General features: G+C 37.8%; 1 protein-coding gene across 3 annotated transcripts in view, besides 2 other annotated features; it reads left to right on the top strand.

Moving 5' to 3' along the window:
- The window catches only part of CYP7B1 (cytochrome P450 family 7 subfamily B member 1), a 212163-nt gene extending 189914 nt beyond the window's left edge, over nt 1-22249 (top strand). For 2 of the 3 annotated variants that reach the window (NM_004820.5, XM_017014002.2), the window contains 2 exons: nt 3967-4142; nt 11895-17973. In NM_004820.5, the coding sequence (NP_004811.1) occupies nt 3967-4142; nt 11895-12182 (464 nt within the window). In that variant the 3' untranslated portion in view covers nt 12183-17973. Of the gene's footprint in view, nt 1-3966; nt 4143-11894; nt 17974-18979; nt 19023-21024 lie in introns of those variants that run through there. The other variant, NM_001324112.2, reaches the window with a different exon arrangement.
- Nucleotides 20809-21452: an enhancer, noted in NCBI's record as "H3K4me1 hESC enhancer chr8:65499929-65500572 (GRCh37/hg19 assembly coordinates)". NCBI's record gives its function as "activates a minimal SCP1, AML or CMV promoter by ChIP-STARR-seq in naive H9 embryonic stem cells {active_cell/tissue: H9 hESC(naive)}" and the evidence as "EXISTENCE:reporter gene assay evidence [ECO:0000049][PMID:30033119]".
- Nucleotides 21453-22096: an enhancer, noted in NCBI's record as "H3K4me1 hESC enhancer chr8:65499285-65499928 (GRCh37/hg19 assembly coordinates)". NCBI's record gives its function as "activates a minimal SCP1, AML or CMV promoter by ChIP-STARR-seq in naive H9 embryonic stem cells {active_cell/tissue: H9 hESC(naive)}" and the evidence as "EXISTENCE:reporter gene assay evidence [ECO:0000049][PMID:30033119]".

Genomic DNA, 23297 nt, shown 5'->3' with positions numbered 1-23297 from the left:
AGATTAATTATTTTGCCTCAAATTATATGATTATCACAATTTCTTATTTACCTTCTCAACTGCCTTGAAGACACTTATGTAGAAATGCACATACACATGCACACATCATGAGCTTCACTCCATTCCATGACACCTTCCAGAGCACACCACCTCCATACCCAACCCCTCTCCCCCTTTTATAACCACCACCACCTCCATACCCAACCCCTCTCCCCCTTTTATAACCACCTTCTCTTTAAGATCACCCAGTGTTCAGCCCCAGTGACTGCAGCAGGTTCTGGCTGTTCATTTCACTCTATCCATTGCTGCTATCCTCTGATCACCATGGCTAATCAAATGGCATGCCAGCCTGCACCAATCATTAAGATGACCCAAATTAACAGCCTGGCCATGTCACAGTACATTCATTCCACATATACAGACAGGGCCTAAGTGTGAGGCAGAAACCCAGATATGCTTATTTGTTTTTGTGTTGTAACATGCATTATTGATTGTCATAAGCTGCTTTAGTGCTGTAAATCTGCAAATGAGAATCATCCATCCTTTATTACAGCCAGAATTGAGAACTGAGAGCAAAAGAGAATATGTGCATGCCTTTTTTAACCATAATTTTTTATTTGTTATTTTTCTTCACAATTGTGTTGTAAAAGATTTTAGCTCAAGACATTCCCTGGCATTTCACTTAGAAGGGATACTTAATCAAAATAATTTTGTATCCTGAAAAGAGAAAGAAGTCTTCCCTAGCCAGGTGAAGAATGTAGTGCATGCTCTGAATTGTGAGATCATAGAGGGAATTTTGGAATCCAATTTCCTAGCATATACTGGTCAGTAAAGCTCAGTTCTTAACAACTCACAGGCAGCCTTATCTTAATCACAGTTGCAGTTGTTGGCAGCTTGCAGTGCCTGGTGTAAATTTTATCTCAAAATATTTGCATTCTTGATGGTCATTTTTCGACAATGCATTCTAATAATTAGAGTCCTATTACCTGCTAAATGTTAGTATAAATTAACAATCCATTATACACAATAAGTTTTATAAAACATTTACAGATAGAGATCATCTTTAATTAAAATTAACTTCCATATGAAAGCCAAGTGCATTAATGACTCACAATGACCTTTTATTACCTGCAGTCCCCTGTTTTGGCTGGATGATTGACAGCTTGCTGTTTGGCTACCATGTTGAATTTCAGCTGACAAGACTTTTCATTTTAACTCAATTTGCCCGCCTATCACAAGCTGGTGGCAGGCCAGACCCAAGTCACCCAGCTTTGCCTCAGCAGCTTGCTCTAGTTCTCATTAGTACGCATTTATTCAGTGGAAATTGGAAGACAAATGCTTGAAGGCATGTGAACTAAGTATAGCAAATTAGGTTTAAAGACTGAATATTTATAAGTATATGGAAAGTTTTTTTTTTTTTTTTTTAATTCTAGAGCGAATTGAGAACTGAGTGCTAGCTTTGGTATAAAAGAAATTAAGATAGAAGGGGGAAGATTCTAAGAATAACAATACTATAAGCTTTTTCTTTCCACTTTGGAAACATGTAAAATCTCTCTGACAACACCTTATCAAATAAAAACCTGGCTTCTCTTTCATGGAGTGCTTGCACAAAGAAGTTTAGCACCTCATGTGTGAGAAGGGGGAAAAAATGAGGGTCATGTTCATTTGTTGCTTGGTTATCCCTTGGTATGTTTTAAATTGCCTTGTTTGTTCGGCACTAGCACAGAAACAGATGTTGCTCTACCGTGCAGGATAATTTACTGTACCTCCTGGTGCAGCATGGAAGTCCTCCCAGGGCCCAGCTGGTCTGTCAGTGGCACTGGCTGGTGTCTGCTCAACTATGACAACTACAAGTAGAGGCTGCAATTTTTTTATTGTGCAGTTGTCATTCTTCTCAACGTATAGCTCTGCCTGCATTCGTACTGGGGCTGGTGGAAAAGCTGCTCGCTTTTGTGTCTGGATGTTATTCTGCAGAGCCACGTAAGCTCTACTCTCCATTGTTGATAATAACGCAACTCATTACTTTTGTCGTCTATTGATTATCGGCATGATGGCTCAGAGCGAGAGCCAACCTCATCTCGCACACATAACTGGTACTGGAAGGTAAAACAGATTTGTCACTTACTATCTGACCGCTAAGCCACACTTTGCGCTCCATTATTGTGATTAACTTCTACATAAGATATGCTTGCCCAATTGTCATTTGTGATACTGTGGTGGGCGCAAGCTGCCATGCTTCCCGAGAGCACATCAGCCAATCAGATTTGACCATGTTATTCGGACTGTTATATGCCTGCCCTGTCACAGCAGCCATCCCACAATTATTTTGCTTTTGTGTTTCTTCTTCCCACACCCCTACTGGACTTGTTGAGTGAATAGCATTGCTACATATGTCAGCTACCATTTCACACCACAAGCTAAAAGGATGCTGTGCTATTGTTGCTCCAACAGAGCCGGCAGCAGTACATGGGAGGCCGAGCCTTGCTTTTCACCACAGAAATGTTGGTCCTTGGTGTTCTGCCAGCTGAAATCCATCGTGTCAGGTGCCTCGTGGCTATCTGCAGTAGAGCCCATGTTCCAAAACCAAAGTTCTTTTCTGGCCTCATCACCAACAAACCGATTTGACTCTGCCTGATTATAATAACGAAGGCAGTCCAAGAGAATATGCACTGCCTCACTGTACGTCACATTGAATCACCACACTGGCCACACAAAGCTGACCGCAGCCTCATTTCTTTAGACAAATGCATGCTTAAGGAAAAACCTCCTGGGAGAAAGCACCCAAAGCTACTTGATAGCCTTATGCAGGCTGTGCATAGATTTAAATTTTACTGAAATAACATTTATTTTTATTTTTGGCTGATGCAAGCCCTCACGGATGGGCCTGCCTTTAATAATCTAATAATTGGGTACTCTGTGTTTCAGAGCTTTGCTGAACACTGAGAAACGGGGCTCTGTGTGTGTGTGTCTGTGTGATTTCTAAATTGCAAGTCATAAACACGACCATTTGTTATCATGTGAAGGGGGAGAAAACTCCATTTGGGGCTTTTTTTTCATATTGCTGATTAGAGAGAATCAAGCTTTATATTCTAGGACCCATTCACGCTGGTGGAAACATAGTCAGTTTTGATTATGAAGGGAGAGATGCAGACCTAGACAGGAGCTACACGCTGATATGCATGCTATCAGAATGATTTATGCAAATTATGCATATTATTCCCAAAGGAATTCCTCCTCAAACTGCCAGGATAAATTGCCGGAAATTAGCCATAAAATCTGTCGTGCTAGGAGTAAAAGGTGAAGGCCACTGGGAAAGGAAGGACATTAGGCTTCTGGAATCTTCCAGGATATGATGGTGCCTGTTATTTTCCCTGGATGCTGAGAAAAATGTGGTTTTCTTCTGAATCCTCTAAAAATATTTTCCTTTTGAAAATTTTCCAGCAAATGTTGACTCACATTTTATTTACAGCTAGCATAAAAGAAATTAAGTGTTAAGCTGTCTCAGAAAGCACTACTACAATTACTTTACTATTAACTGCCTAAGTGGTTATTAAATGGCTAAGTCTGGCTTTAAAGCATCAGAGTTCTAAAGGTTTGTGGAATGACTCACCAGCTGTGTATTTTAACTGGGATATGGTTTTAATTTCAAGCATATATACCCATAACACAACATTCCTCTCTAGCAGATCACCCTCTCCTACAAAATCTTAATGACTTTCTGCCCAGGTACAACACTGCTGCCTTCTACCTGTGAAATGCCCCCAAGCCTTGCTGGAGCCAGACCACCGCCCCTGCTCACATCCTGTGCACAGCCACCCTTGGCTCCCTCTTGGTGCTCAATGTATGTGATGAAGAAACAGTTTCCTTTTCAATCAAGGCTATTAGTAATGAGTTTTATTGCAAACTGAGAGCAGTTTTCAGGACCAGCCCTATCTTAATAAGCTATCGTTTGTTTTTTTCCTTCAGAAAGCAGCATTTTTGAAGCTTTACGACTGTCCTCATATTCAACCACCATTCGTTTTGTTGAGGAGGATTTGACTCTCAGTTCAGAGACCGGGGACTACTGTGTGCGAAAGGGAGACTTGGTAGCCATCTTTCCTCCAGTCCTACATGGTGACCCTGAAATCTTTGAAGCTCCAGAGGTAAGTAAACATCAAGCCTATGATTGCTACTTCTTAGATCCTGTGGGCACATTCCTCTTCCATCCCTATCTCTTCCTCTTGCCACTTTGGTCCAGAAGGGGTTTGAGGCAGCTTGATGGCTTCTATTATTCCTCCTAATAAGAAAGCTTTCCTCTTTACTGAAGTGTTCCCTAAGGATATCTTTGAAAGGTTCCATGATCTATAAAGAGAAATACAGTGATGAGACTAAATGCTAGTTGCTTCAAATGAAGTGGACATTGCGCCTTGGCCACTATTACGTTTTGGCCAAAATTACATTTTGCTTGGTGGAGAATTATTGAAAACCATGGAGGGCTAGCTATTGACAGGTGGCTTAGAGAATAAATGATGATAACTATTTTGCTAAGTGTTTCCAAAGTGAGGTTGACTGTTCCAAAGTCAAATAGTATCATTGCTGTAGTTAAGCCCATATACTTTTCCACCTCTTATGAAAGGTATGTGCCCCTTCTTGATCAATTAGTATGGCATTATGAACTTGAGATTGTAAAGCTGCTGCTCACGGGTGAAGCTCTGAGGGTAATTGTGTCATCTCCCTGTGTTTTTTTCTGAAGCTGGAGTTAATGAATATCAAAGACTGGAAATTAATCCACCCTGGTTCATCCCTTAATACCGCTTCAGAGATTCACCACCTGCATGCAAATTGAATGCAGTCCTATTCTGCCTGTGTTTCTTAGGAAGTAATGTTGCTGCAGTAGTTTTTGTGTGTAAAATGCCTTTTTTCAAAGGGAAACTTTGCTGCTCTTTTTTAGCAGTTCATAGCTGGACCACCTCTAAATCTAATTGCTAAGATAGATGTTTTGCATCCAGGCTGGATTACGATATTGTTGAATTTTGAAAATTAACAAGAAGAGAGCAGATTCAAATACAATTAGAAAATTTGCATTTATTTCAGCAGCAAAGGTGAATGACTTAAGTGTGGGGGGAGTGTACATATAGTTTCTGTGTGTTTCAAAAGGAGGGACATTGTATGAATGACAATAACAAATAGGTTGTAGAGTATTAGCAAGTGAAGGAACATTCTGCAAACAACAGGCTTTATCTCCACATTTGTAAGTATCAAAGAACAAAATTATATTCAATAAACAGGGCAAATGAATAGCCAATAGCCAATATCTGGAAAATATTTTTAATTTTTATTTTTACCTACAATTCTGCATTTATTTAATTTCAACTTACTATTTTCATTATGTGATTATTCCACTAGTCATTAAGTTTACTATTCATATCATGATGGTAAAATCAACATTAGTGTTATCAAGAAACAATAAATGTTTACCAGATTACCACTGTCTTTATATCACTGTGCTTTGGACTCCTATTTCTTACCCTCATGATGAAAAATACCTTGATTTAGACTTAGGAACTTAAAACTCAAAGTTAAAAATCAAAAATATGCTAATTTATATTTTTTTCTTTTGGAATACTCAATAGCAATGCCCAAACTTTACATAATAAATCAAATAGTAATCAGAAGGGCTTGCCTTATACAAAATCTGTGGCAGAACAAAATTGCAATATTGTGAATACTGATTTAGCATCATTAGGGTAGCTTTAACTTGAGTTGATGAACACTCTCTATTATTTACTAGATTTAACATTAGCCAATTATGCCTGACTAATGTTAAAATTAACTAATTTATTGTCACGCCATTGTTTCCTTGAAATTAGTTGGAGAATGCTGATAATACCTGGCACAGAAAAAAAATGATATAGCTCAGAACCAGTTTTATAGAATTTGGGAAGGTTTTATCATTCATTGTATAAACATTTTCTGAGTGACTACCACTCTCAGACATATCAGTTATTCCTTTGATTCTTAACAACTTCATATGGCAATAAGTAGATGCTATAGATGCTCTTAAAAGAGATGTCCATCCCAAGCCACCATATATTGACAGTAAAGAAAAGGAGATTGTTCTAGAAAAGTCTACCGTGAGCCATTTGTTGCTGAGAACATGGTTCAGGAGCTCATCAGAGACACATTCATTACTACCTGCCTTTTGTATCCAACATACCTTGAATGAGAAGATCAAGCCTCAGATGTTGATAACAGGCAATAGGTGTTAGGCCAAAAATATAAGGAAGGCAGCTACAGGGATAGTTATTCTTGGAAGACAGAGAGACAAGAGCCTCAGCAGAACATAGATTCTCCCAGCCCAACAAGGCAGGGTTTCAGAATTTCCAACCTCCAAAAGACTCTAAAATTTGGCATTTCAAAGACAGGCCATGGTCTTCCAACATACTTGAGAGCTGTTGGATCTGCATCTCCCTATTCCTGGAATGCCCCTCCTTATTTGTGCACCCAGCAGGCACCAAACTACTCCACAGGAATCACCTAATCACCTCTTTGTTGACAGTGTGCCTGATTTCCACCTCATTCCTCAGAGAATTTGCCATTGCTCACACTGTGGCCTGTGTTTAACTTTGTAGGGGGGCATAACACACAGTATTTTGCAATTATTTATTTACTTGTCCTTGCTCCCATATGCTGTAAGCTCCAGAAGAGGAAGGACTATGTCATTCCCATCTCTGTATTCTCAGTGCCTAGCACACAGGAAGCTGTACACTACACATAAGTTGAATAAATAAGGGGATGCTTGGATAGATAAATGTACTGAGAGTGAAAATATGCTTCAGTTATAATTTTAAATCAGGACAGATATTGCACATTAACATATGTACTGGGCCTAAATAGATCAAATAAAGAAGTGATTTGTGTATAAATATAGCAATACTATTAGAAGTGTTAAGAACTATGGCAAAAGGAGATGCTAGGAGACATCTAAATAGGACCACTGGCTACTTCTGAACTAGCCCTCAGCTCTTGCAAGCATTTAGACCTAGTTTGGTGAAGTCATTTTGATTTTTTATTTAAAAAATAACCTGAAAAAATAGGCTTTTGAGTGAAGGTTTGAATTTTTAAATATTTGGAAAAATGAAATTTAAAACACAATATCTTACAATAATAAATAAAAGGTGTTTGGGAACTTAATTGAGCCTATAAGCTACCAACATGCAACCTCTATATTAAGAATTATTATTTCCCTGAATATTGGTTGCTTAACTTATTGTAATGTTAGCCATTCAGGTGGCTCAGTAGTAAATAGTGATGATTTCTTTTCTGCCACAATGCAAGATACAGAACCGGAGCTATAGAGAAGCTCCATAGAGAAGATCAAATCTAAATCTGTTCGTTGGCTTTCCTAGGTCCAGAGGTACTGAGGGATAAAGGGAGACCTGGTGACATTGTGGGGTTTATAGGGAAAAAACGTCAGACATTTAAGATGGCAATGCATTATATAACCATGTAGGTAAAGAAACAATGGTGAAATAACAATGTAATTCCAAAGCCTTTGGAATATCCCCCAAAAGCTCTGAAGATGGAAGATCTTGTTTGTTTAATCTAATGCAATTCTGCCCTATCTACTTCTTATAGTTGTTGAGATAATAAAATGATTAATAAATTTGAAAGCCCTTGAAAAAATTCTAAATCACTAAAAGAATTGTGGTACCAATTATTATTTTGATTATTGCCACTGTTCTTAGAATGACATGGCAGATAAAGAAGTACTCTCAATAATTTTTTATCTGTATTGCAAAATGGAATAGAGATTGTGCCACTAGTAGACTTAAAGGAAACAAACATATATCAATTAATTACTATCCAGAAATCACTTTGATGGGCATAGTGAGTGACAAAGAAATAAAAAGGTCCCTTCCCCTACAAACTTGCAGTATAGGGACTCAGCCCTGTCACATAGCTGATTTCTCATAGTGAGGTGCTTCCTATTGAGAAAAGTTTTCTGCCATACCAACAAATTGACACTTCATACCTACCATATTGGAACTAGCAGTGTGCTGGTAAACCAGGGCTCTGAGCCCTGATTTGTAGTGTTTGTCAATTTTCGTAGTATAAACTACCCCTTTGGCCAATTTCATGTTACTAATGTGAAGACCCTAAACACAGAGTCACTAAGAGATGTGCACACTCTGACAAGCTGGTCAAACTGTCTGCAGCACACTACCAATTTGAACCCAAGTCATGAAGATAAAAAGGGACTTCTGTACTCTGCCATCTTGCTAAGGGGCAACAGTGTAGCCCCTTAGCCATGCATTCAAAACACTGACTTTTTTTATTATGAGAAAGTCATATCTTTTGTCTAATTTATATTTGTCTAATTTATATTCCCATACCCAAAATTATGAATTGAGTGGATTCAAGACATGATCCTATTGTGTGTCACCTACTTCAGCAAGACCATGTTTTATGCCTTGTAACTTCAATGCTTTACATACAGGAAGTGCTCCAAAAAAATCTGTTGAACTGAACTAAACATAGTATTTGGAGAACACAAATTAGGGTGTTATGCAATCTTCCTTTGTCACGAATACCAAAATCTTTTCTCTATCCAGAAAATTGTGTCCTCTATCCAAACTTGATTTCTAGTGCTTCAATATTATACAATTTCCTACTATTTGTAAACACTGAATATTCATCGACTCATCATACTCTACATATTTATTTACTCATTCAATATCTATGTTTTCTTCAAAAGCTTGAAAATGGTTTTTAAAATATACTTTTTTCTCATGTATTTATTCATTAATTCAACAAACATATATGGAACCTCTACTATGGGAATAGCATTGTGTTGAAGGCTTTAAACATGCAGAGATAAATAAGAAAATGTGATAGCTCCAAACTCCTGGGATTTCTTGGCACTGCCATCTCCTGTAGGTTAGCTCTGTCTTTAGCCTGATAGCAGTTCCAGACATCATAGTCACACATGATGAGGTCCAGAGGAGGAAAGGTAATCAACCATTTCTTTTTGTTTTATTTTCTTCACAGAAAGGGGACTTCTCCTAGATGTCCCCATAGATTTTTCCCTTGTAGCACTCACCAGATTGTTTCACAATTCTATCCCAAACCAGTCAGAGACCAGAACAATGTAATTACCAAGATTAGTGCCTAGACAAATTTTATTCAGAAGAACAATGTTGGGGAGTCAACTGCAACAATCATTAGAGGAACAGTGAGGAACTTCCGTGTCTTATACCTTCTCTTGTGATTTTTCTATTCTCATCTATTTAATTGGCTCTCTTTAATTGTGAAGCAACATGCTTATTATGGTCACTGTAAAGAATTTCAATCAGCGGCCGGACACAGTGGCTCACACCTGTAACCCCAGCACTTTGGGAGGCCGAGGCCGGCGGATCACGAGGTCAGGAGATCAAGACCATCCTGGTTAACGCGGTGAAACCCCATCTCTACTAATAATACAAAAAATTAGCCGGGCGTGGTGGTGGGCGCCTGTAGTCCCAGCTACTTGGGAGGCTGAGGCAGGAGAATGGCGTGAACCCAGGAGGCAGAGCTTGCAGTGAGCCGAGATCGCGCCACTGCACTCCAACCTGGGCGACAGAGCGAGACTCCGTCTCCAAAAAAAAAAGAAAAGAAAAAGAATTTCAACCAGTTTGATGAATTCCAAGTTTAAGTTTTTCCAAATGAATGGATACATCTTGAGCTTCCTGTACCTTTGTTCTGTGTCACTGTGACCCCAGAATCTCAGTGGTGAGATTATTATACCCCTTCCTTTTTCAGCTAAAACAAAACTGTACCCCTAGCAGCTGACACAGGCCCTTCTTAACATTGGTTCCTGCTTAGGTTTTCCATGCCTAGGCAATAGGGCAAATTGCAAATAAATTTTAACTAAAAATATATTTATGCTCCTGCACCCTTTGAACTTGGTGTTGGTCACAGAGCTAAAGACAGTGGCCATTTCCATTTTAGTTTCATAAAATAAACAACCGAATAGGAATTTCTAAGATGTTTACTATGAGAAAATTGAATAGAACATCCTGGAAACTAGAGGGATGGTGTTGCTCGTTGAGTAGAAATTTGAGGGAACTGAATATAAACACTAGCTGAAGGTCATGGGTAAGGAGCACTCCTGCATCACGTGTTTGCCGTGGGCCTCTCAGAGGTTAGCACATTCATTTTCACAAAGAGGAACCAGAAAACCATGGTGATTTCTGGCTTATTTATGATATCAAGACACTAAAAAGTCATAATCCAAGCTAAGTTTTCATTTTGCGTTTGCTGGCTTAACTAGTGGGGCTACAGTGAGAGGCTTCCTAATAAATCATACCATAGCAAAGCTCACTTAGACTGATTTGGGTTAGGTAGATAGAGGACCAGTCTCCTCAGATTGGTCAGCGTGAAGGAGGAAGCAGCAGGACTAAGCTCAGGCAAGCAGGCTTGAGCCCCAGGAATGGAAGAAGTTCCCCAGGAGAGTGTTACATTTAGTAACTCTATCTCCAGTGACCCTGTATGTCAACAAAGGGTGTCCTTGTTCTTTCAGCATTGATTAAATACCGTTTGGATACATCCCAGAACTATGGTAAAATACGTGTTTTAAAGGGCTCAAATATTCACTATCAGGAATTGAGCAGTTATAAAAATGCAGATAAATTTTGCCATTATCATTGCATCCACTTGCAAGTTGGAAGGAAATGGGAACTACTGAGAATTTTTCTAAGCTCAAATACTTATCAAAATAAGTATTCTACATAAATGAGGACAAACCTAATAGTTTTAAAGGAAATGGTTCACTGTCATTAACAACACTGGCTTTGAGTGAGAAAAGTAAATCATTTGTGATGAATTCAGAATCTATCCACATATTGCAAGGTTTTCACCTTAACCTGAAATGCTTTGGATCTGACCTACTTTTTTGCATTCGTCTTCATGTAGGTCATATCAAAGTTGTGTGTGAGCAGGTCTAATGTTAATGAGCACCAACTACAGGAAATACTTGGTCGTTTCCATGCAAGCCACGGACATTAATTTAATCAATGGCTTAATTCACCATAGGCTAAAATAAGGTCACTCAGTCCCCTCTAAGAAATTCAAGTGAGAGTTGAACCATAACCCTTTGGCAGCAAGGCAAAATTAAGATGGCAGGCCCAACACTCTAGGTAAAGCAGTCCCATGATTTCCTGTAACAAACTAATATAACTCATTTATGAAAACATTTCAGAAACACCTGCCACCCTAGAGTAAACTCAGAGAGCTGATTTTAATAGAACTTTCATAGAAGAAATTAACTACAACATCAAAAAACAAACAAGATTAATTTTGGGGCTTAGTTCCTCTCTAGTGCTTTATCTGAATCTTACGATTTTATATTTGTTTAATCCAAACATCAGCACCGGATCCTAAACTCATAGTTCTCATCTATCAGTAGCTGGTGGGGAAGGGATAAGAGAAACTCGAATTAGGAATCCACAGTTAGGCAGCTCCTGTGGCTAGTTAGGATTCATCAGACCCGGGTAACAATGGCAGTCTCACCAGAGCCCTTGCCTTCTACCTAACATTGGTATAATCAAGTGCCCATATGTCAGGACCCACCTTAGGGAGCAAAAATAGTGATGTTGCCACTCTACTTGGGAAGCTCAGCTTAGGAGAAAAATACAAGTGGAGAAAAAAAGTCATACAGCTTTTCAGACTTCACTTTGATATGGGAGAAGTAATTTCCTAGTAATATTTGAGTTTTTTGAAAGTTCATGCTTAATTTGCACTCAGCCAAGTTTTTCTGGTGTTCACCTGATTAAAAGGAGCTTTTTAAGACAGGCAGAGAGAGCTAGCAACTTTGTGGACTTGAACTCAAACTATTTCATATAAAATGTTAATTTTAACACTATTCTTCCTTACAGGAGTTTAGATATGATCGTTTTATAGAAGATGGTAAGAAGAAAACCACCTTTTTCAAAAGAGGGAAAAAGCTGAAGTGTTACCTAATGCCGTTTGGAACTGGAACCAGCAAATGTCCAGGCCGATTTTTTGCACTTATGGAAATAAAACAATTGTTGGTTATACTTTTAACTTATTTTGATTTAGAAATAATTGATGATAAGCCCATAGGACTAAACTACAGCCGCTTGTTGTTTGGTATTCAGTATCCAGATTCTGATGTTTTATTTAGATACAAAGTGAAATCTTAGAGAAGCTAAAAGGAAAGAAAATAAATCTATCAAAATTACCCTAAACATCCTAAGCTCATCTATTTCTTTTTAATTTCTGCAAATGTAATTGATTTATTTGTTTAAAAAGCGCTAATTTCTATTTGATCTGATATCAGTCCAGTTTGTCCTTAGTCACAAAGCCCATCATAATATAAAACAGGATGGTGGCAGGAAAATGGACATCAAAATCAACTTAAGGGTAGGCTCAAAACAGGGTTGTTGTTGTTTTTTTAGTTTCTCCTTGTTGTGATTTTCACCTGTTATAATAAATGTACCTTCACACCAATAGATTGGGCACTGTGGAATTTAAATCACTCAAATTGTTCTCTAATATGTAAAATTACACTTTGAACTACTAGAAAATTGTGCTGGAAATGGACACAGTCTAACAAATTCCAAATTCTCACAGAAGAAGGAAATTGAATTTCCATGAGTTACACTGGATGAAAATGTTCCCTTCAAGTATAATATTAATAATACCTATATTTCCAGGGTATGTGTGCATTAAATGAGTTTCACAGTAGATTGAATGCTTCAACTTCACTTCAATATTTAATCATGCATAAATGTTCCTTATTACTTTGTATACTATGGCTCAATAGAACAAAATTTCTGGTTACATAAGACCTTTCATGTTCAAGTTAGATACTGATAAGATTTAATGTATAAGAAAACACAGAACCTATTATATATTCAGAAATTGCCCTAGACATTAGTATTAGGTTTATTATGGGAGCAAATGTTGAAATAATTACAGCATTGATTATATCATTTGGCTTTAGTATAAACTATACAGGTTATGCAAATATTGCAATTAACCCTTTCCTAAATGCTTTCATATATATAAACTGAGAAGCTAGATATAGTATTTGGTTTTGATGTCTCACCTTTTGGATTTGGAGTTCATGTGTTCTATTTTGAATTACAACATCATGTAATGCAGTGTAATTTCATATGACACATGCAGCATTGTGTCAATAATTCAAAGATTTTTTTTCAATTGAGAGAGTATCTGGCTGTGTTGCCCAGGCTGGTCTCAAATCCTGACCTCAAGTGATCCTCCCGCTTTGGTCCCTTGGGAACCTGGACTACAGGCATGTACCACCAAGCCCAGTGATTCAAAGATTCTAATATCAGAGTACCACATGATTGGCATCTGATATAAATGATGATGCAATATATAAGCAGGCAAGGCAGGTAATAAAGTCCAGTTAATTCATGCTTCGTTAATTGGAACTTCTAATATTTCAGAAATCTGCTACTGTTTTGAGAAAAGGAAACTGACTTTAAAAATAACATTACAAAATATTTACATTCTTAGTAAGTAAATAAGACAGTCTAGCATTTATTTTATCCTTCCTGAAGTACATGTTCTGAATGTTCCTTCAGTGAAGGTCTGCTGGTGCAAATTCTATTTTTGCTTGATTTAGGGTGTCTTTATTTTTACTCTCCTTCTTGAAAGATGGTTTTGCTGGATGCACAAATCTAGATTGACAGTTATTTCCTCACAGCACTTTGAAGATATTGCCCGTTCTTAAGGTATCCATTGTTGTTATTGGGCGGATAGCCGTTAGTGAGTTTAATTACTCAATAGGTAGTCTGTCTCTTCTCTCTGACTACTTTAACGTGTCCTCTTTGTCTTTGATGTTCTTAGTTTCTTTCTGTTTCTCATGCTTGCATGTCCTGCTGCTTCTTGAATCTGAGCACAGGTGTCTCCCATCAAGTATGGAATCTTCTCAGCCATTCTCTCTGTGAATATTACTGTTCTCACACTCTACATTAGATCCTCTCACTCTACATACATCCTTTGATCTTTTCTCACCACACTTTGTATCTCTAACTTACACTCCATGTAATTTCTTTAGATGTCTCTTCCAGTTTCTTCTTTGAACAGTATATCTAATCTCTCCAACTCATCCACTGAGTTTGTTTTTTCCTTCTTTTTGTTTTAACTCTAGGTTCATCGAGTTGAGTGATCACTCTCCTTACACTCTTTAGTTCATGATACACAATTATAATTGGTTCTAATAAGGTCCCTCTGGCTTTATTTACTTATTCTGTTTTGTCCCTAATACCCACTTTCATACCCCTTCCTAATATCATAGGCAAATATTCTAATGTGTTTGATGCATATCTTGGTATGTATATGTTTTCATGTAACATATATTATCTTGAGTACCTATTTTCTGTAAGTTATATTCTTCCTAATTTTCTTATGAAGCTCTGTGATTTTAAAGATATATTCATATTTCTGTAGTATATACATAGTATACTACTATATTTAATCTATTGCTTCTAACTGCTGCACAGCAATCCATAATGTGCACACATTATGTTTTAATGATCTAGTTACCCAGTGATGGACACTGTCAGCAGGACAGTTATTGTGGGACAGAGGCCAAAGCAGAACTTAAAAGCTTTTCCATCACCTATCCTCACACTACTGTGCCTAACCATCTCAGCCCAGGGCTGCTAAATGCCTTGTCCCCAAGCCCCACCACCCACCCCCCACATACACACATTTAGTCCATGATAACTTTAATTCTTCCTAAGATGTTCTAAATTTGTTATGTCCCATCCTCAGATCCATCCAATCCTCTCCATTCTGTAGGGTCTCCAAGGTTGATTTTGAGTCAGAGTGTCAGTCTCCAGCTTGTTAACCTTCAGGTTTTCCATTCCACTGAGTTTGCTAAGTTCAATCATTACATTTTTCAGTTTTACGATTCCCTTTTGTTCTTCATATATGCTGCTTATTTTTTATAATATCTTGTACCTTTATTATAAACTCAACATCCTTTTTCATTTCTTCAACTGTATGAAGCAAACATTTTAGATTCTGTATCTGATATTTCCAAATCATTGGTGTTTTGTGGATCTAATTCTGTAGTTTATGTGTTTTGCTGTCACTGTTACCAGGAATGGCTTGTTTACTGAGCCCATGTTCCTTGGATTTTTATCTCTGAAAAATCTTTAGACCTAGATTTAAAGTTCATTCCTCAAGAGAGAATTTGTATTTGCATTTTTCAGACTGCTGATACTACTACCAAACTCAGATCACCTTAAAATTTCAGCTTGATTATCTGGGAGTGGGGAGGGAACGCTACATAGGTATTGTGGTTTCTAGCCCTAAATCAGGTAGAATGCAACCATTTTATTAGGAATAGACAGGGGACACATTTGGGGGTTCATTTTTTTGTTTATTTTTACCCGGAGCTAAGACTGAGATAGGCAAATATACTGACAGTTTTGCTCTGTGGAGCACAGTTTCTTTCTAGTTCACCTATTGAGTATGTTGTCTTTGCAAGTTCTTGGCTTTATGCAAAGGCCTTGGATTACACACACACACACACACACACACACACACACACACACACACACACACACACACCCTGGGCCCTAGCCTTTAGTCCACCACAAAGCATACTCTGTCCTTTTCGTACTTGGACGTCTAGTTCGCCATGTTGCCTAAAGTGGAAGTTCCATAGCTTTAAATTCAACTTAGTGGTACACTTTTGTGATGTTAAGGCACAGAGAACACAGGAAATTATTCCATTCCAATTTCGGCTTATTTTATAACTGGAAATGTGTACAGGAATTTAGAAATGGAAAGTAAGGATAAATGAAATGGTTGAGAAAAGATGACATAAAAGGAATGAATAGTAGAACCAAAACAAAACATTGAGAATCTTGTGACAGTCTTAAATCCAGTAACTAAATAGTATTTACAAATAGAAAAACATGTCCTGGACAAATCAGTTAAAAGATGCAGATTCTGGCTGTGACATAACTGGCTTATTATTAAACAATTTCCGTCTCAGAGCTTCAACGTCCTCATTTGAAAAATAAAATAATAAGGCCCTTTGACATCAGAGTTCATTGTAACGATTAAACACAGTAACGTGTATGGATTTATGGTATAATGCAATATACCAATGCAAAGTTTAATGAAGATACTTCAACAGTGTTGTGCCTTTAAAAAATTGCTCTTGTGTATTGTTCAAGGGAATCGTTTTTTATAGTCATTTGTTAATTCATTGTTCATTTATTCAACCAAACATTCATTGAGCATTTTCTCTGTTCTAGATATGATTGATGCTAGACACTGGATTCCCCTTCCCCTTCAAGAACATACTATTTGTTAGGGAAAACAATACGTAGGCAACTAATTTATTATAAATGCAGTTGTAAGTGATAAATTCATCTCTTTAAAACTATTTTAAAATTCTGATTTATCACTAGTTCTAACTAGCCTTCCATCAGTCATTCCAAAGTAATGGTCTGTAATGAGAAATCACTATGTATAATTATACACAATAAAAATATATACAACAGGTATTTTGATAATATGATAATTAAAACCAAATATAGTCATTGAGGCTTAGAATTTTTAAAAACTGTATTATATATTGTAAAATCCCATCCTTTTTTTTTTTTAGATGGAGTCTTGCTCTGTCGCCCAGGCTGGAGTCCAGTGGCATGATCTCAGCTCACTGCAACCTCCACTTCCTGGGTTCAAGCAATTCCCTTGTCTCAGCCCTCCGAGTAGCTGGGACTACAGGCACCCACCACTATGCCTGACCAACTTTTGTATTTTTAGTGGAGACGAGGTTTCACCATGTTGATCAGGCTGGTCTCGAACTCCAGACCTCAGGTGATCCACCCGCCTCGGACTCCCTAAGTGCTGGGGTTGCAGACATGAGCCACCGTGCCCGCCCCCATCTTTTCATTTTTATAGCTTCACCTAAGTTTTGAATTAAAAGAAATAAATAATTAATACCCAAAATATTGTTTTATATCAATGACCAACGTAATGAAACACTCAGCAGAAACTAAAGCCCTGAAGTGGTTAAGAAAAAGCTACCTATCACTAAATCAGGCATGCTTATAAGCAACCTAGAAGAAAACTTTTATCTGCCTTGTTTTGGCTTTCCTGGCATACTTCCTTACTTCATCTCCATTTTATAATTAAGTTTTGGGTCACAAGTCTAAGGCAAAGGAGCTTCCATACTGAAAATCTACATTTTTAATGCTTATTTTATCATAAAAATAATTTGGGTAATTTTCTGCAAGTGACTTCTAACTTAACAGTAGAAGTTTAAAACTGTTCAAAGACCAAAGCACAACATTTATCTAGTGTTTGATCCTAGTATAAAAGAATGGCAATAATTATGTGAACAGGAATTACATGCCCTTAGAATGTGCATTTTTTAACCTATTAAATTTGCCAATCTTGCAAACTATTGTTTACTTGTATTGCATAATTAGATACTCATATTAACATATTGAATTCAGAAAAAGTTAGCAAGCCAAGATGACATTCTCTGTAGCACTATTTTAAATTATAATGAATGATCACATAAAACTCTTTAGTATTTATCTAAAGTAATTATTACTCTACTTCATTTGTTTATCTAAATCAGTGATCATTGATGTTTGAACTTTTTGGCTTAAATGTTTATTTTGTTTATACTACTTGCTAGAGTAAAATAAATTTAATACATGAAAAACTCTACACAATTTAAAATAGGTTATAATTTGTCAATACTTATGTTTTAAAATATTTTTAGAAGGAGGAGTGCTGTATATTATTAAAACAATTTTCTGAAATTGTTTAATATTATCTTTGATTTTAAAATGACATATATGTGGATTTACAATGAATCAAATTGTCCTAAAAGATGTCAGATAAGAAATGCAAGTGCTTTGCAAGTCTAATACTTAATGTTCTTTTATGTACAACAAAAATTTAATAAATTAACTTTAAAGCACAGATGACTGATTATGTCTCTTTATTGTCCTACTAGGAATATGTTGGATAACAGAAGATTTGATTACAAAAGAAAATTATTTGGAAAATAATTTTGCTCTCTGAATATCTCCTCATCTCCATTTCTTGCCCCCGTACACATATATTCTTATCATCTGATGCTCTCCTGAAAGTATATTAACTATTTCAGAGTATGTTTCAATATATTTTAACTTATTATTTATTTGTAAAATAACAAACTCAAAAAAAATCACTAAGTTTTAAAATGTTTATTCTAGGCAGGCTGACCTTGCTAGGTTACAATTCTTAATAATCACTATTAGTGTGGACAGAAGTATAAGCACAATAAATGGGAGAGAGTTTTCAGCAGGTGTAATCTTTGTCTTCAGCAGATCTCTTTACTACAGATAATGAATAAAGCTGGGTAATATTTGGACAGTATTCTATTTGTTCATAAAACTAAAATAAATTGTAAATAAAGCATATACTACAGAATGGTGGTGATGAAAATGAAATGTGGGTTTTTAGTAACCCTACGTACAGTATTTTCCTGGGACACTGGGCTTTTCTCAGAGACACTGGTGTGAGTCACTAACATTTTACAGGGACTGGCCTGAGACTCCGTGAGAAGTTGGCTAGAAGGTGTTCTGTTCATTTGAACTAGTCAGCTCATTATTGTTTATTTACCAACTGGGATAAATTATGTCACTAAATAGATAAACTGTGAAATAATTATCTTTTGTTTTCAACTTTATTCTAGATTTGCAGAACCTTCCAGAATTAGCAATGATCATGTGAATAATAATGTGTATTTTCTTTTCAGGATAAAAAAATGCCCAATGGCTGTGCTGTGTTTTTTGAAAAGTGCTTGATACTGTTTACTGTTAATTGTTTATTGTTAATTATTTACTGTTGATTACTTTTATAAGGAGAGACATGATGTATCACAGACTACACAAAAAGTAAATGTTCAGAGATATAATCATGAAGTATTTTACTTCCCTTACAGCAAACTGTGCTCACAGGAGAAACTAGAGGAATGGAAATAACAGGTAAAGGTATTACTATCTAATGATTCATCATTGAGTCAAATTTAAACATTTCTAAATATGAAACATATTAGTTGGAGATTCTTATTTGTGTGCAAGAGAATATTTACTACACATAACTTTTATTTCTAAGAACTAGCCATCGTAGTTACCAAAAAATCTGTGTCATTATTGCCTGATAGATACCAAACTTTTTAATAAATGCTTTTGTTTTTTATATTAAAATTAAGGTTTGAATGAAATTACTTCAATTCCATAATTCTAAGGACTAATGAGTTTATTTAAAGTTTTATAAATGTATTTGTTTTCTACGTCAAATGGAATACCGTTAAAAGTATTTGTAATCATTGAATGTTTTATAAGTAAAAACTATACATGTGGTAGTACTTCCTTCATACTGAGCAATTACACATTTAAAAAAAACTTTTTATTTTGAACTAAGTTTAGACTTAAAGAAAAGTTACAAACAGTTTTTATTTTTCAAGAAGGAGGTACTCGGACTAAACAATGCTTGCAGAAAATTAAATTAAGGAGTGGTCCTAGAACTTAACCAGTTCAAGATCTTAGTTGATTCTTGATCTTTGAGGATAATCGTCCACATCAACTACTCCACGGGACAACATGCTGTAAATCCAACAGAGGAGCAGGGATAGTTTGAGTGTGTGAGCTACCCACATCTTCCATAGGCCAAATAATTGTTTTGCTTTCATAAACCATAATTTTGTAAACTTTTAAAGGAGCTTACTTTGTTGAATAATTACAGATTTTACTTAAGTTCACTCTCTTAAGAAATCTACACTTTAAAGAGATGTATGCCTGATGCTTCTCCAAAGGAAATTAAAGTAAGTTATTTAGACGCAGGTATTAACTGACCCTGCTTCCTGATACATCAGGCATTTAATAGATAGATATCCTTTCTTCTTTCCCAACTCTTCACATTTCTGTGGAGGCCTGCTTAGGAAAATCATTTCCTTTCATCAAAATCTTAGATGGAGAGCACCGACTCAGTCAGCCTGGCATCTGAATTTTGACCATAGTACTACTGCAGAAATAGACTGCACATGGCAAATGTAGCTGTACTTACTTGATTGGACAATGCATGATTTATTATTTTGACTAGTTAGGTACAAAAACTGAGTCTCTCTCATAATCAGAGATTGTTTATCTCTTTTCAAAAAGTGGGTAAGGATATGTAACAGAGAAATCCTTGCACCAAGTTCTTCAGTAATTGCCAGAGCAGGATAAATGTATAAAATGAGGTTAGGCCATGAAACATTTTTATGTTTAAATTTAAATTCTCATCTCTAAACACCTCTGTTAACAGGAGATTTGAGATGCAACCATCCTCCTAATAAAAAAATGAAATCTTTAAGATTGAGAAACATTTGTAAATAACGGATCCTTTAAATATCTCTGAACTTTCTTCTAAAACTTATACGGAGAAATAGTAATTGCTTTATATAACCAGTGATACCATTTTAGCATTTGATGAAGATGTTAATTTATGGGTGGTTAGCAGTTTATGGCTGCCATTAGTTTTTCGGTTTGGTCCACATTAGAAATCTATTTTTCTTTTTTATTTTAATCTCAGACAATTTATATAAAGATATGGTTATGTTTTATCTAAAATGTATCATTCTTCTATAGCATTTCAAATTATTCACAGATCATAGTTCTTATATGTGCATATATGAATTTAAAAATACAGCAATAAAATGCTTGAAACAGACCATAAATTTGCTTCATATTTTATTGCATCTCTGAATCAGGTTGAGGAGACAAGGGCAACTGTGGTCTTTGGGAAAGAATTAACTCTTTCCCAAGCTGAGAAGGAGAATAACACATTGTGCATAATTAAAGCCAACTCCCCATCCAAGCATGGTGGTGACTTGTGAGCCTTGTCCATCATATATGTAGTGGGGTTGGGGATGGTGAGGATTGATAACTGACAAATCCTCTTTTCCTCTGCAGTCTAACCTTCCCAACCCATTCATTTCTCTTTCAGAGCTCTCAAATCTGTACTTCTGTACTGCCTACAGTAGAGAAAAGTGGAGAAGAGAAAGAAGGAAAATTCACACACACATTCTAGTATACTTGATAATTTTGCAATAGTTAAGAAACAGTCTCCTGGATTTGTTAAGACGAGTAATTTAGAAAAATTAGTAGAATTTAACACAAATCTAACCTCAGGGAAAGCGAGCAGAGTTTCCCTGCTGCGTGAGGAAGCGAGCAGCTCTTTGGGGTTTAAAACCGGGGCGCTTTCGCGGATGCTTCGGGTTTGGTGCGGCTGCGGGGTGCCTCTTACAAGCCTGGCAGCTGCGTGTGAACCCACATGCCTGCTGCCATACAGGGGACAACCCGATCCTCGAGCCACCCTCGAAGGACAGTTTGAGGCAGAGCCCCTGAAGTTCTCTTTTTGTCCCAAGGAGCTTGGCGGTTGAAGGACAATTGCGCCCGCAGGGGTGACTGGAAACGTCGGTCCCAGGGGAAGTCCTGAGAGAAGGGGTGCTCTTCGGATGCGGATCCCGAATCCCTCCGGATGCGGATCCCGAATCCCTTCGGGAGCACTGCGCAAGCAAAAACAGCGCGGTGGGCGCGAGTGCTGCGTGGACGTCATTTGGTGTGTTTGCAACCTAGGGATGCTGGACCTGCTGGAAGGCGGCTCCTTTCCTCCTCCAGTCCTGCCAGGTCCCAGCACAAACACTCTCCTCGTTATCCTACCCAGCCCTGTTTACTGGAACCTTGGTTCTAAACACCAGTCGATCAGAAGAGCCAGAGATTTGCCGGGCAAAAAAGACTCTCACCGTAAGAGTTGTTTCTACTGTTAAACTGAAGTTACTGACTCCTTGTTTTTCCTTCTCTTTCCCTCCTTCCACCTACTGTGTCTAAAGTTTGATTTAAAAGGCCGAATTTAAATAAACCTGCAGCTCATTGGCTTGGCAAATCCAGAGACTTTCAAGTTGTATATGCCAATACAGAGAGCACAGGAGCCGGGCTCATTTACTTTGCCCACACAACAAAAAAATGTTAATTGATGTAAAGTTGCTTGGCACGTGGATAATTTAGTCTTACCTGCATTTTAATTGAAAGAAACCTATTCATGTTTCTGATAGTCAGGTTTTGCCATTTAATTTTGTTTAAAGGCACCTTTGTGTAGTTGTTCCCTCCCACTCCTGCTTTCCATGTGAATCACGTTTTCATTAAAGGTTTGACTAAGTAGTCTCACCTGACCAGGATTCATTACCTCCTGCATTCCATGAGCACACTTTCGGGTTTCCACTCGTTTCCTCGCTCCTCCCGGCAGGGCCGCCACGATGTGCTGCGAGCCGGGAAGTGAACTCATGATTATTTTTCAAAGTCTGGGAAGTGTATTATCCTTTTTTCTAGTGGTAATTAGTTACCATAGCATCAAATACGTAAATGTGCCCAGAGCACACCATTAACAGTTAAACGGAGGATTCAATTTAACACATGATTATATCTTTCATAAGTCATTACATTGGAAAAGTCAATGCCACTCATGCTGGAGCAATCGCAAGGTCGGGCCGCGTAGAAAGGTTCGGTTTCCGCGTGCTAGACCAAGAGTGCGAGTTGGTGGAGAAGGGAATTCTGTGAGTCTCGGCCTCCCTGCTGTAAGGATGGATGGTGGGTACGATAGGAGGGAGAGGAATTTAAGCGTAACACAGGGTCTTGGAGGGGTTGCCCAGCTGCGGGGACTGGTGAGGGCATTGCAGACTGCGTGCGGGTGCGCGCGCGCGCGCACACACACGCACACACACGCACACACACACACACAAACACATACCATAGGGAGGGAGAAGCACGGGTAACTAGAGAGCTCTATCGAAGATGATCATTTGCTGGTCCTGCAGTCGTACACGCAAAGCTAACCCTTCTGTTGGTCCCCAGTGTCAAGCTGGCGACGGGACCCTAAGTGAGAATAAAAAGCCAGTGGGACTCAGTTTTTGCTTGGCCTCATCTGTCCACTCTCAGCTCTGTAAGGAACACCAGCAGAGAGATCGGACTGGCGGGATGGGTGTGCCTGAGAGAAGCACCCCAAGGCGTGGTGGATGCCAGAGCAAGCTCAGGGGTGGCCAAGATACCCTTGCACTCTGGCACATGCTGCAGTCTTAGGAACCAGGCTGTCTGCTCTAACCCAAGGAGACTTTTGCAAGACCACACTGATTCCCCTGGTGCTCAGTCCCCCATTTCCGACCTGTGCGCTCCATGCTGGACAGACAGCTGGGGTCAATGGTGTGTGGGCTAACTCTTCAGACT

Source organism: Homo sapiens, chromosome 8 (assembly GCF_000001405.40).
Source record: "Homo sapiens chromosome 8, GRCh38.p14 Primary Assembly".
In the NCBI taxonomy this organism is placed as follows: domain Eukaryota; kingdom Metazoa; phylum Chordata; class Mammalia; order Primates; family Hominidae; genus Homo; species Homo sapiens.
This window is presented reverse-complemented; position numbering and strand designations above follow the sequence as displayed.